Source organism: Homo sapiens, chromosome 20, assembly GCF_000001405.40.
Source record: "Homo sapiens chromosome 20, GRCh38.p14 Primary Assembly".
Taxonomy (NCBI): Eukaryota; Metazoa; Chordata; class Mammalia; order Primates; family Hominidae; genus Homo; species Homo sapiens.
In genome coordinates this window covers 5702981-5716157 of record NC_000020.11, presented here as the reverse complement: position 1 = coordinate 5716157, position 13177 = coordinate 5702981, and the positions used below count along the sequence as shown (strand labels likewise).

The 13177-nt window shown below is 43.3% G+C and overlaps 1 long non-coding RNA gene across 1 annotated transcript, besides 1 other annotated feature; it reads left to right on the top strand.

Moving 5' to 3' along the window:
- Positions 1281 to 1575: a silencer, noted in NCBI's record as "tiled region #14731; HepG2 Repressive DNase unmatched - State 5:Enh". NCBI's record gives its function as "represses a minimal TATA promoter and a strong SV40 promoter by Sharpr-MPRA in HepG2 cells {active_cell/tissue: HepG2}" and the evidence as "EXISTENCE:reporter gene assay evidence [ECO:0000049][PMID:27701403]".
- On the top strand, positions 7607 to 12526 carry LOC105372514 (uncharacterized). The gene is made up of 3 exons (XR_937224.1): positions 7607 to 7729; positions 7919 to 7978; positions 12058 to 12526. It is a non-coding gene; the product is annotated as an uncharacterized LOC105372514 (long non-coding RNA).
- The last annotated feature ends 651 nt before the right edge of the window (positions 12527 to 13177 follow it).

The following is a 13177-nucleotide window of genomic DNA, read 5'->3' as shown; positions in this document are numbered from 1 at the left end:
TTATATGTGGAATGTTTCCAATAAAAATTAACACCATGTGTGCCTCTCCTGCTTCCCCTTCTACCTCCTTCACCTCCGCAACCCCTGAGACAGCAAGACCAATCCCTCCTCTTCCTCCTCCACCTCCTCAGCCTACTCAACACTCAGACAAGAATGAAGACCTTTATGATGATCTGCTTCCACTTAATGAATAGTAAATATACTTTCTCTTCTTTATGGTTTTCTTTATCTAGCTTACTTTATTGTAAGAATACAGTATATAATACATATAACACACACCAACTGTTTATGTTATCTGTAAGGCCATCTATAAGGCTTCTGGTCAACAAACAATGGTCTATTAGTAGTTAGTTTTATTTTTCCATGTCCTAATTCCTTGAGGTAGTTAAGTTTTTGAGGAATCAAAAGTTATATGTGAGTTTTCAACTGTGTGAGGGGTTGATGTCCCTAGCCCCTGTGTTGTTCAAGGGTCAAGCATAAGGTTATCTGAGATCATAAGGGTGGGGCCCTGATCTGATAGGATTAGTGCCCTTATGAGAAAAGACACTGGACAGCTTGCTCTCTCTTCCCATGTGCATGCACTAAGGCCTTCTCACTAAGACCTCCTCACATGGCCTTTCCTGCAAGCCAGGAAGAAAGCCTTCATCAGAAACCAGATCAGCCAGAATCTTGATCTTGGACTTCTAGAATCAAGAACTGTGAGCAAATAAAATTGTGTTGTTTAAGCCACATAGTGTTTAGTATTTTGTTATGGCAGCCTGAGTAGACTAAGACATGCGTCATCTTTCATTATCACTGGTTGAAGATTTCCCTTGAGGGTGCTGCAGGTGGCTTGAGGTGGGGAGCCTTGTCAGCACATACAGAACCTTCCTCCCTGGCTGCAGGTGAACTGGGAGTGGAGCCAATGGCACATGGAAAGGCCACACTGAGTGTGCTGTCCCATTGTTTCTAATCTTCGACTTACAGATGCTGCCACATTGACTATTCTATCCATGTGCTTGTTTTGCACACGTTGCGCTATAAATTAGGGATAAAGTTGCTCCATCAAACGGTATGGATGCCCAAATTGTTCTCCTAAAGAGATTATGTCCATTTACATTCCACCAACAATATCTGTTTTTCCACGCCCTTTCTGATACAGTTTATCAGTCATTTTGATCTTGCCAGCCTCTTAGGTAGAACAGTGTGTCATTGTGGTTTTCACAGGTAAATGTCTTCTAACTCAGTGTAACAGAGTGTGAGGCAAAGGAGGGGGAAGAAAGCTTCCCTGCTTCTTTGGCAACCTCAGCTCATACATGAATTCTTCACTGAGGACACGGATACACCAGCAACCTCAAAGGTTATAGTGTCTTTGTCCTGGTTAGGGCAGGAAGCAACTCCCCTTCAGTATATTGTCTGACTTCCCTGGTAACCATGGTAACAATGTCAGTGTCAACAAAGTCAGCAGAAGTAGCTTCACAAGCATCAAAGAACTTAGAACAGACTAAAGCCCAGGAAACTACAGTGGGAGTGGGGGCAGGGGTGGTGTAAGGGTACATACTGCATGGTAGTAGCTATGTTTGTGAGCTCACCTAAGTTACTCCTGTTCATTTCCAGAAGAGGTAGATTCAGAGACAGAGAAAAGCCACATGTGCTGTTATAGAGTTCCTGTAATTTTATCTCCGAATTCGTTCTACAGCTATTTTACTAAGCTTCATCATAGACATATATTGCTGTACAAGGGAGAAGGACTCTAATATTCAAGCAGTTGAAAAACATTATTTGCTGTCAACTCCACTATTCCTATAGATGAACTAGAAATGGGATGACTGTGTAGAGCACTCAAGGTCAAAAGGAAGGTTGCAGGGAATTTATGGGAAAATCTGGGAAACACAGATCTAAGGACATGTAGGCAAAGGGCTGTAAATGGATAGGACTGTATAGTGAGAGTTCTGGCCAGGCACAGTGGCTCACACCTGTAATCTCAGTACCTTGGGAGGCTGAGGTGGGAGGATCTCTTGCGGCCAAAGAACTCGAGACCAGCCTGGGCAATATAGTAAGACCCATCTATACAAAAAATAAAAAAGTTAGCTGGGCATGTGGTATGTGCCTGTAGTTCCAGCTACTCAGGAGCTGAGGTGGGAAGATGACTTGAGGCTGGGAAGTTGAGGCTGCAGGGAGCCATAATCACATCACTGCACTCCAACCTCGGGGCAGAGCAAGACCCTGCCTCAAAAAAAAAAAAAAAAAAAAAAAAAAAAAAAAAAAAAGAAAAAGAAAAAGAAAAAAAGAAAGAAAAAGAAATTTCCCGGGTAAAAGTTTAAATGCCTATTCTTTCATTTTTAAAAAACATTTTACTTTTTCTTTTGAGTCTCACTCTGTCACCCAGACTGGAGTGCAGTGGCCTGATCGTGTCTCACTGCAACCTCTGCCTCCTAGGTTCAAATGATTCTTGTGCCTCAGCCTCCCAAGTGGCTGGTATTACAGGTGTGTGCCACCACTCCCGGCTAATTTTGTTGTTGTTGTTGTCATTTCTTGTAGAGATGAGGTTTTGCTATATTGTCCAGGCTGGTGTCAAATTACTGGACTCAAGTGATCCATTCACCTTGGCCTCCCAAAGTGCTGGGATTACAGGCATGAGCCACTGCACCCAGCTGATTGTGTGGTTTAAAAACATAAATTATTTTATCAGACAATAATTCTGAGGGAGACTCCATTCTAGAGGCTGGAAAGTCCAAGATCAAGGTTCTGCTAGGGTTTCTAATGAGGCTGCAAATAGCCACCTTCTCTCTGCATGGCAGAGAGAGAGAAAGTGAGCTTTCTGGTGTCTCTGCTTTAAGTGCATGAATCCTATCAGAACAGGTACCCACCCTTATAACTGAAGTTAATCTTAATTACCTCCTTATATAGGACCTGTCTCCAAACACAGTCATATTGTGGGTTAGGGCTTCAACATATGAATATAGGGGTGCACAATTCAGTCCATAGCAGATGGAATAAACATATTTGATACAACTGAAAGGATAATTCATAAAGTAGAAGATAGGTCAGAAGAAACTATCCAGGATATAGCGCGGAAAGACAAAAAGACATAAAGCACACAAGACTTGAGAGGAGATCTAGAGGATAATGGAAGAAGGTCTAGTATATATTTAACCCGAGTCTTAGAAGAAGAAAAGACAAAGAATGAGGCAGAAGCAACATTTGAAAAAATATATACCTAAGAATTCTTGGAACTAATGAAGGACATCAACCCACAGATTCATGAAGCCTAACAAATCCCAAAGAGTATAAATTTTTTTAAATTAACGCCTAGATATGTTATGAAGACACTTCAGAAACCAAAGAGAACAATTTTAAAGTATTCACAGGAAAAAGAGATTCCTTTCAAAAGACTTATTTACAGGAGCTAGAAGAGAATGGAATTATATCTTCAGTTGGCTGAAAGAAAATAACTGCCAATGTAGAATCCTACTGACGACAAAAGTATCCTTCCAGAACAAAGGCAATTACAAGTACAAGTTGGGGGTAAAAGGCAACATAAAAACATTTTAGACAAACTGAACAAGAAGACTTCAACCACCAGCAAACATGCATTAAAGGAAAATCTAACAGGCATTATTTCGGGAGAATGAAAATGATCCAAAATGAAAATCAGAGGTGCAAGAAGGAATAAAGAGCAAATAATTGCTATATATGTGAGTAATTTTAAATAAGCATTCAGTATACAAAACAAAAATAGGCGGGGTGCAGTGGCTCATGCCTGTAATCCCAGAACTTTCGGATGCCAAGGCAGAAGGATCACTTGAGGTCAGGAGTTCAAGACCAGATTGGCCAACATGGTGAAACTCCGTCTTTACTAAAAATACAAAAATTAGCTGGGCATGGTGGCACGTACCTATAATTCCAGCTATCTGGGAGTCTGAGGCACAAGAATTGCTGGAACCCGGGAGGCAGAGGTTGCAATGAGCCCAGAACGCACTGTTGCACTCCAGCCTGGGCAAGAGAGTGAAACTCCATCTCAAACAAACAAAAACAAAATAATAATGTCACATGGAATCTTAACAGAATTAAAATATAAAGGGAGACAATTGTTTCAATGTCATGATGAAGATTAGAGGTTAGAGGATTTCAGATTTACAACAACAAAGTTATTTTATGCATGCATGTATGTATGTATATATGTATGTATGTATTTTTTGAGATGGAGTCTCACTCTGTCGCCCAGGCTGGAGTGTAGTGGCGTGATCTTAGCTTACTGCAACCTCTGCCTCTCAGGTTCAAGTGATTCTCCTGCCTCAGCCTACCAAGTAGCTGGGATTACAGGTGCGTGCCACCATGCCCAGCTAATTTTTGTATTTTTAGTAGAGACAGGGTTTCACCATGTTGGCCAGGATGGTCTCGATCTCCTGACCTCGTGATCCACCCACCTCGGACTCCCAAAGTGCTGGGATTACAGGTGTGAGCCACTGTGCGCGGCCATGTAATTTTTTATTTTTTTTTTGAGATGGAGTCTTGCTCTGTCGCCCAGGCTGGAGTGCCATGGCACGATCTCGGCTCACTGCAAGCTCCGCCTCCTGGGTTCATGCCATGCAATTTTTTAGAGATGAGGTCTTAGTAGGTATGTTGCCCAGCCTGGTCTTGAACTCCTGGGCTCAAACCATCCTCCTGCCTTGGCCTCCCAAATTGCTGGGATTACAGGTGTAAGCCACCACGCCCGGCATTCTTCTTCTTTTCTAAGAGTAGAAGTGTTTTTGTAGCTGTAAGGGTAGAATACCTAAAAATCAAGGAGAAAATTCAATGTTTGATTACATTAAGCATATTTCTAGAAGTATGGGACATGTCTTTAACTTGTTTCAACTTTTAATATCCATTATGAGTAAATTAGGGGATAAAAGACACGTAAGACTAATAAAAATAAATTCAGATCAGAATGAGAGAAGACCTGGAAGACAGTGTGAGAAGGTCTAGTATATATTTAACACAAGTCTTGGAAGAAGAAAAGATAAAGAGTGAGACCCTGTTCACAACCATCAATAATAAACAAAAGAATAAAACACCAATTAAGCAGCCCACCCCAACAGACAAAGTAATTTGACTGTGGATACCCTTGGTGAGCTCACACTCCCTTCTTTTGTCTAGGTACCAATTCTTCACTAAGTTTACATTGCAATTCATCTCCCCTATCTAATTAATGAGATTATATTCAATTTCTGTTCAGAAATTGTCTTATGTAAGAGTCAGTGTTTGGTGACACAAAAAAGTAGTAAAGAATCAAGGAACATCCAGGGTCTTTGGAAACTGCTGGCACATCAGATATCAGTGGCATTTCTGAGCCTGCTACCTGCTTATTCCTGGAAGTCTCTGCAGGGTTGCCGACCAGAGGTATCATTTTCTCTCTGACCTCCTGTCTCTCCTGAAGCTTTTGTTCCATGTTGATCACATTACTGGGGTGTTCTATTTTAAGGCTAACCTTAAATGACTTGAATTCTTTTGCAAAAGCAGAGTTGAACAATTGGTTTCCTTCCAGCAGGCCTTCTGATTTATCTGTTCCATCAATGGAGTGGACTGTCAAAAGGATGACCACAGCGTATGGTGGGAAAGTGGACAAGACCCCTCCGTTTTCAGGACAGGCAGCTATGTCCCAGCTTGTGCACAGCAAATCCTTGTGCCCCCAAAATCTGCACCTAGAGTAGTTTAACTTTTTATTATTTTTATTATTATTATTATTATTATTATTATTATTATTATTATTATTAGAGATGGGGGGTCTCACTATACTGCCCAGGCAGGTCTCGAACTCTTGGCGTAAAGCAATCCTCCCACCTTGGCCTCTCAAAGTGCTAAGATTACAGGTGCAAGCCACCATGCCTGGCCCATGGTGTAGTTCTTTTGTTTTGTTTTGTTTTGTTTTTGTTTTTTGTTTTGTTTTGTTTTTGGAGACAGAGTCTCACTTTGTAGCCCAAGCTGGAGTACAGTGGAGCAATCTCAGTTCACTGCAGCCTCAATCTCCTGGGCTCGGATGATCCTCCCACCTCAGCCTCCCAAGTAGCTGGAAGTATAGGTATTGGCCACCATATCCAGATAATTTTTTTTATTTTTTATTTTTGTAGAGATGGGTTTTCACTATGTAACCCAGTCTGGTCTCAAAGTCCTGGGCTCAAGCAATCTGCACACCTCAGCCTCCCAAAGTGCTAGGATTACAGGTATGAGCCACTGCCATGGTGTAGTTTCAAATGGCTGCACATTTTCAATTTACTGAGCGGAGGCCAGGCAAAATATTATCTGACTTGGAGTAACTGTCATCAAGAAAGGAGTGAGCTACTCTTGCAGCTCAGCCACATGAGGGATGAAGTCTCCAACTCCCAATCCCCCTTGAGCTTCTCTCAACAGCCTTAGGATATCTGGCTTCACAATCTCTTTGTCCCTTCATCTTTTCTCCACTGTTCTCTAAGCACTCTATGGATTGGATGCCATCCACTTGCACACGGCCTTCTAACATCCATGCCACCTCTGTTTTTCTAGGCACACGTGTTAGCACTTAGGCGTAGGAATCCCCGTGAAACTGCAGTCTGAAAAGAGGGGGTAAAGAGATTTGCTCAGCAACATTTCCTGTGCTGTTCCCTTTTCCCACATAAGTACTTCAACATGTTTCTAGTGGGGAAAATATTTAGTCCCAAACTCTTTGGTCAAGGTAAAATCTATTTTTTTTTAGAACAATAGTTCAAAGTCTGGGTGCGGTGGCTCACGCCTGTAATCCCAGCACTTCGGGAGGCTGAGGAGGGCAGATCACCTGAGGTCAGGAGTTCGAGACCAGCCTGGCCAACATGGTGAAACCCTATCTCTACTAAAAATACAAAAATTACCTGGGCACGGTGACTCACGCCTGTAGTCCCAGCTACTCAGGAGGCTGAGGCACGAGAATAGCTTGAATCCAGGAGATGGAGGTTGCAGTGAGCCGAGATCACGCCACTGCACCCCAGTCTGGAAACAGAGTGAGACTCGGTCTCAAAAACAAAACAAAACAAAATCAGTAAATTGATTCAGGTGGGCACAGCGGCTCATGCCTATAATCCCAGCACTTTGGGAGGCTGAGGCAGGAGAATCACTTGAGCCCAGGAGCTGGAGACCAGCCTGGGCAACACAGTGAGACTCCATCTTTACAAAGCATAATAATAATAAATTAGCCAGGTGTGGTGGTGCACGCTTGTAGTCCTAACTACTTGGGAGGCTGAGATGGGATAATCACTTGAGCCCAAGAGTTCAAGGATGCAGTGAGCTATGATCATGCCACTATACTCCAACCTGGGTGGCAGAGAGAGACCCTGTCTTTAAAAATAGATTTAAAAAAATTAATTGATTCAAACATATTTTGAGTAAAATGTGCCCAAATCATGATTTTGCAATAAATGCTATGCAGCCAACCACACGATATTGGTAATATAATATAATATTTGCTATTATATAATACCATATGTAATAGATAACATAAAGTTATTGTGGTAGATTCAGAGCCCATGGATTATAAACCAACAATAAAAGAGCCAGGACTGAGAGATGACAAGATGCCAAGGAGTAAAAAGTCAATAACGTTTCAATTTCCTAAACCTTCACATTTTTTAGGCTTCCTGGGATGGTGCAGCTGTAGAGTTAGATTAACCCACGAATAATGTACCAGCATGGACCATTCTTCCAGCTTTCCAGTAGGGATGCAGCCAACAACTGTAACATCACCTGTGTCACTGATAAGGTAACTGATAGAGATTAGGTAGAACACCTACGGTTTTATCCCGTAAGTAAAGGATTCAAACCAAGTGGCATCCAATACTCAGAGGGATGTGCCAGGTATACCTTCTGTGAATTGATAGCCTTGCAATATTCTAAATGTGACCCTTCTTTTTCTCATATTCTAATGCTAATGCAACTCTTTGTTTTTCAGGGTTTTTTTCTCCAAAGACTAAAGTGTCTGAACACAAAATAAACACATAAACCTCACAAGGTAAAGAATTTTACTGGGTATGGTGGCTCATGCCTGTAATCGCAGCACTTTTGGAGGCTGAGGCAGGAGGATTGCTTGACACCAGGAGTTCAAGACCAGTCTGGTGGCAACATAAAGAGAAACCCATCTCTACAAAAAGAAAACAAAAATAACTGGGTCCAGGAATTCAAGGCTGCAGTGAGCTATGATTAGGTCACTGCACTCCAGCCTGGGTGACAGAGTGAGACTGTCTCTTAAAAAACAAACCAAGGTGGTGGCTCACACCTGTAATCCCAGCACTTTGGGAGGCCAAGGCAGGAAGATCGCTTGAGCCCAGGAGTTCAAGACCAGACTGGCCAACATGGTGAACCCCTGTCTCTCCAAAAAATATAGAAAAACAAACAAAACAAACAAACCAAAAAAAACCAACTTAGCCATGTGTGGTTCCACATACCTATGGTCCCAGGGAGGCTGAGGTGGGAGGAGTACTTAAGCCTGGAAGGTTGAGGCTGCAGTGAACCATGTTCACACCACTGCACTCCAGCCTTGGTGGAAAGAGTTAGACTCTGTCTCAAAAAAAAAAAAAAAAAAAGCTTCACAGAACTCTTACGGGTAGAAAGACTAGCCAAATCAGCCTTGCCTCTCCTGTGAGTTTTTGTCCTAGTGAAATCAGAAATCAGATTTAAAATTATGACAATATCGGTCAGGTGCGGTGGCTCACGCCTGTTATCCCAGCACTTTGGGAGGTGGAGGCTGGTGGATCACCTGAGGTCAGGAGTTCGAGACCAGCCTGGCCAACATGGAGAAACACCATCTCAACTAAAAATACAAAAAATTAGCCGGGCGTGGTGGAGGGCACTTGTAATCCCAACAACTTGGGAGGCTGAGGCAGGAGAATCGCTTGAACCTGGGAGGTGGAGGTTGCAGTGAGCCAAGATCATGCCATTGCACTCTAGCCTGGGCAACAAGAGCAAAACTCCGTCTCAAAAAAAAAATAATAAAATAAAATAAAATTATGACAATATCAACCCTAGAGTGTAAAAAAGAGTAACAAACAAACAAAATGGGAGCAGAGACAGACCACCTATTTCTTTTCCTTCTTCTTCGGTAGTGCAGGCAGTTTGTGGGCTAAAAGCCATATTCTAGGAAAGCTACTTCTAGTAGAGCCACATTCCAGGAAAGTTGCCTGGGTCCTGGGTCTGTGTCCTGATGTGTACTACCGTAAGCACATTACGTATTGATAAAGGACATGCATGCGCATACTTTTTAAGCCAGTTTTCTGTTACTATGTCCTGCCGCAGAATTTGAACGCAGAAAAATAGTGGAAATCCAGCCACTCCCATCTGACCCATGAGTCTGTGTGTGCTGCCCAAGGATGCCCAGGGCGCTCCCACACTCGGCCGCAGCCTGAGAGTTACAGCACCCCCATCCCCACCAGATCAGGGTCTACACTCTTCCTTCAAATCAGGAACTTGAAAATAGGCACCTTTTAGCTTTATTACACACTGGGTCCACAGTCTCCCTTAGGTACAATGAGCCGCAAAGCCAGCTAAAAGAAGTGACTGGGTTTGACAGCAGGTGAAAAAGAAAAGGGAAATTTTTTTTAAAAAAAGACAAGTGACTGGGAGCGGTTACAGAACATGAGCTCTGCGGCAGACCTGGGTTCAAAACCTTCCTCTATCACTTAGTAGCCATGGGACACTGACAACTTACTTGATTGCTTCGATATGCTAATTTGAATTCCCCTAGAAGCAGACTCTGAGGCAAGGATTCACATGTAAGTAGTTTATTTACCAGATGATCCAGAAAACATTACTAGGGGAGTAGAGAAAATGGGATCAGAAAGGGAAGGCAGACCACAGAGGAGAGGGCATATTACCAAGCAAGTCAACACCGCGGACCACGGGAGCACTCTATAATTTTGTGTTTTTGTTCGTTTGCTTGTTTGTTTAATAGAGATGGGAGCCTCACCATGTTGCCCAGGCTGGTCTCGAACTCCTGGGCTTAAGCGATCCTCCCGCCTCAGCCTTCCAAAGTGCTGGGGTTACAGGCATGAGCCACTGCTCCCAGCCTCCACTGGGGAACTCTAGAAGACTGTGTATAACACACACCTAGGAGTTTTCTCAGCAAAGGGCAGGGGAGTTGGGTCGTTATCAGCCATCGATTAACAGCTGCTTGGGGCAGAGAGGAGGACTAATTCCTTGACACTTCTCATCTGCCTCCCAGGGGCAAGTTAAGCTCTGGCAGCCACAGAAGGCCCTCAGGCAAATAGTTATAACTGTGGGCAGTTGAAAATCTGGCCAGGGAGCCCAGAAATAATAAGGGCAAGGATAACAGTGCGGTCTGCATCTGCTACACCCAGTGCATTTTCTGTCATTTCTAAACCCCCTCATAGGGCTAGCACTAGTCAATGGAAGCTGCTATCATTTCAGCCAAAATAGAGCAGAAATTTTCTTTTCTTTTTTTTTTTTTTTTTTTTTGAGACAGGGTCTGTGTCACCCAGGCTGGAGTGTAGTGGCACAATCTCAGTTCACTGCAGCCTCGACCTTCTGGGCTCAAGCAATTCTCCCACTCCAGCCTCCAGAGTAGCTGGGACACAGGTGCACTCCACTATGTCCAGCTAATTTTTATATTTTTCTGTGAGATGAGATCACACCATGTTGCCCAGGCTAGTCTTGAACCCCTGGACTCAAGCAATCTGCCCGCCTCAGCCTCCCAAAGTGTTGGGATTACAGGCGTGAGCCACTGTGCCCAGCCTAGAGCAGTGAAATTGAAAGAAGATGTGGTAAACTGAGTAATGTCCTGTTTCCCAAACAAGACCACACCCTAATCCTCAGAATCTGTGGGCATTACCTTACCAGGACAAAAGTGACTGCCGATGTGATCAAATTAAAGATTTGAGATGGGAAGATTATTCTGAATTATCCAGGTGGGTACAATGTCATCACATGGGTCCTTATAGGAGCCAAGCAGGAGGATCAGAGTCAGAAAAGGAGACGTGATGATGGAAACAGAGGTCAGAGTGATGTGGGGCTATGAACCAAGGAACACAGGTGGCCTCTAGAAGCTGCAAAAGGCAAGGAAACAGATTTTCCACTAGAGCCTCCAGTAGGAATGCAGCCCTGCTGACCCATTTGAAATATCTGACTCCAGAGCTATAAGATAAATTTGTAGTTTTTTGTTGTTTGTGTGTGTGTGTGTGTGTGTGTGTGTGTGTGTGTGAGATGGAGTCTCACTCTGTTGCCCAGGCTGGAGTACAGTGGCACGATCTCGGCTCACTGCAACCTCCGCCTCCTGGTTCAAGCAATCCTCCTGCCTCAGCCTCCCAAGAAGGTGGAACTACAGGCAGGCATCACTATGCCCAGCTAATTTTTGTATTTTTAGTAGAGACAAGGTTTCACCATGTTGGCCAGGATGGTCTTGATCTCCTGACCTTGTGATCTGCCTGCCTCAGCCTCCCAAAGTGCTGGGATTACAGGCATGAGCCACTGCACCTGGCCAAATTTGTGTTGTTTTAAGTCACTAAGCTTGTGGTAATTTGTCACAGCAGCAATAGGAAACTAATACAGAAAACTGGTCAGGAATAAGAATTGCTACCGCATAGTAATATTTCCTGTGAGCCAGCACTAAGCACTTTAAGAATTTTAGGTCAGGCACAGTCTCACATCTGTAATCCCAGCACTTTGGGAGGTTGAGGTGGGAAGAGCACTTGAGCCGAGGGGTTTGGGACCAGCCTGGGGAACATAGTGAGACCCCATTGCATTAAAAAAATACAAAAATTAGCAGGGCATGGTGGTGTGCACCTGTAATCCCAGCTACTTGGGAGGCTGAGGTGGGAGGATCCCTCGATAACAGGAGTTTGAATCTGAAATGAGTCATGATTGCACCACTATACTCCAGCCTGAGCAACAAAGCAGGACCCTCTCTTAAAAAAAAAAATTAAAAGACAAAAGCATCTTAATTGTTTTAATCCTTACACTGACTATAGGTATATTTGCTACGTGGCCTTGAACTCATCTTGCCATTTTGAATGTCCATTTATACTTCCTCTGTGCTATAGCTAAATGATAAAAAGCTTTTAATTAATTTTATTATTGCAGTTTCACTAAGCAAACAAGCAGTTCTCCTGTGGAAGAACATCTGATACCAAAAGCTTCCCTTCCTGCCAATAAAAGAGTGAAGGCTGACACAGCTGCACTTGAAGCAGGTTGAATAAAAACCGGACTCAGCCCCTTTAAGTCCGGCTGATGACAAACGGGTGCTTTTTATCTTTTGCTGTTGCTCTGGCTCAGTACAGCCATTTAATTATTCATAGGAAGGCTCTTTGGTATTTTCACTGTAGAAGTCACATCTGAGACTTAAATCTTACTTCCACCAACTCCAGTGATGAAGTTTCCAGACTAATGAAAACGTCAGTGCTGTGACATTCCCGGAACCCATTCTTTTAGCTCTGCAAGGAAAGCTAGACTTGGGCTTTCCATTGTTGGAGCATAAAGTTCCTCACTCACCAAAGCTGCCAGCAGGAAAATCCACCAGACACTTTAAGCTAGTGATTACACTGATGTAAATATAAACTTACCACGAATATAACAATGAAAGTTTTTTTATCCTTGGAAAAATCTTGGAGTGTGGAGAAAGCATCTCAATTACCTTGCAGGTCAGTGTGCAATTATATTAGGCTTTCTCCCTCTTTCTCTCCCTCTTTGTTTCCCATTTCTTTCTAAATAGCACTAGATACAAGGGGGAAAGGCAACTGGGCTATTACTTCATTTAAGAAAGAAAGGATGGTTACTTTTTTTTTTAATTGTTGTTAGGATTCTGTTTTTTTTTTTTTTTTTTTTTTTTGGTAGAGACAGGAGTCTCGTTGTGTTACCCCGGCTGATCTCAAACTCCTGACCTCAAGTGATCCTCCCACCTGGGCCTCCCAAAGTACTGGGATTACAGGTGTGTGCCACTGCACCCAGCCTTTTTTAAAAAAATAATTTTAATCACGGCTATAATCCTAGCACTTTGGGACGATGAGGCAGGTGGATCACCTGAGGTCGGGAGTTCGAGACCAGCCTGACCAACATGGAGAAACCCCATCTCTACTAAAAATACAAAATTAGCCAGGCATGATGGCACATGCCTGTAATCCCAGCTACTCAGGAGGCTGAGGCAGGAGAATCACTTAAACCTGGGAGGCGGAGGTTGTGGTGAGCCAAAATCACACCATTCCAC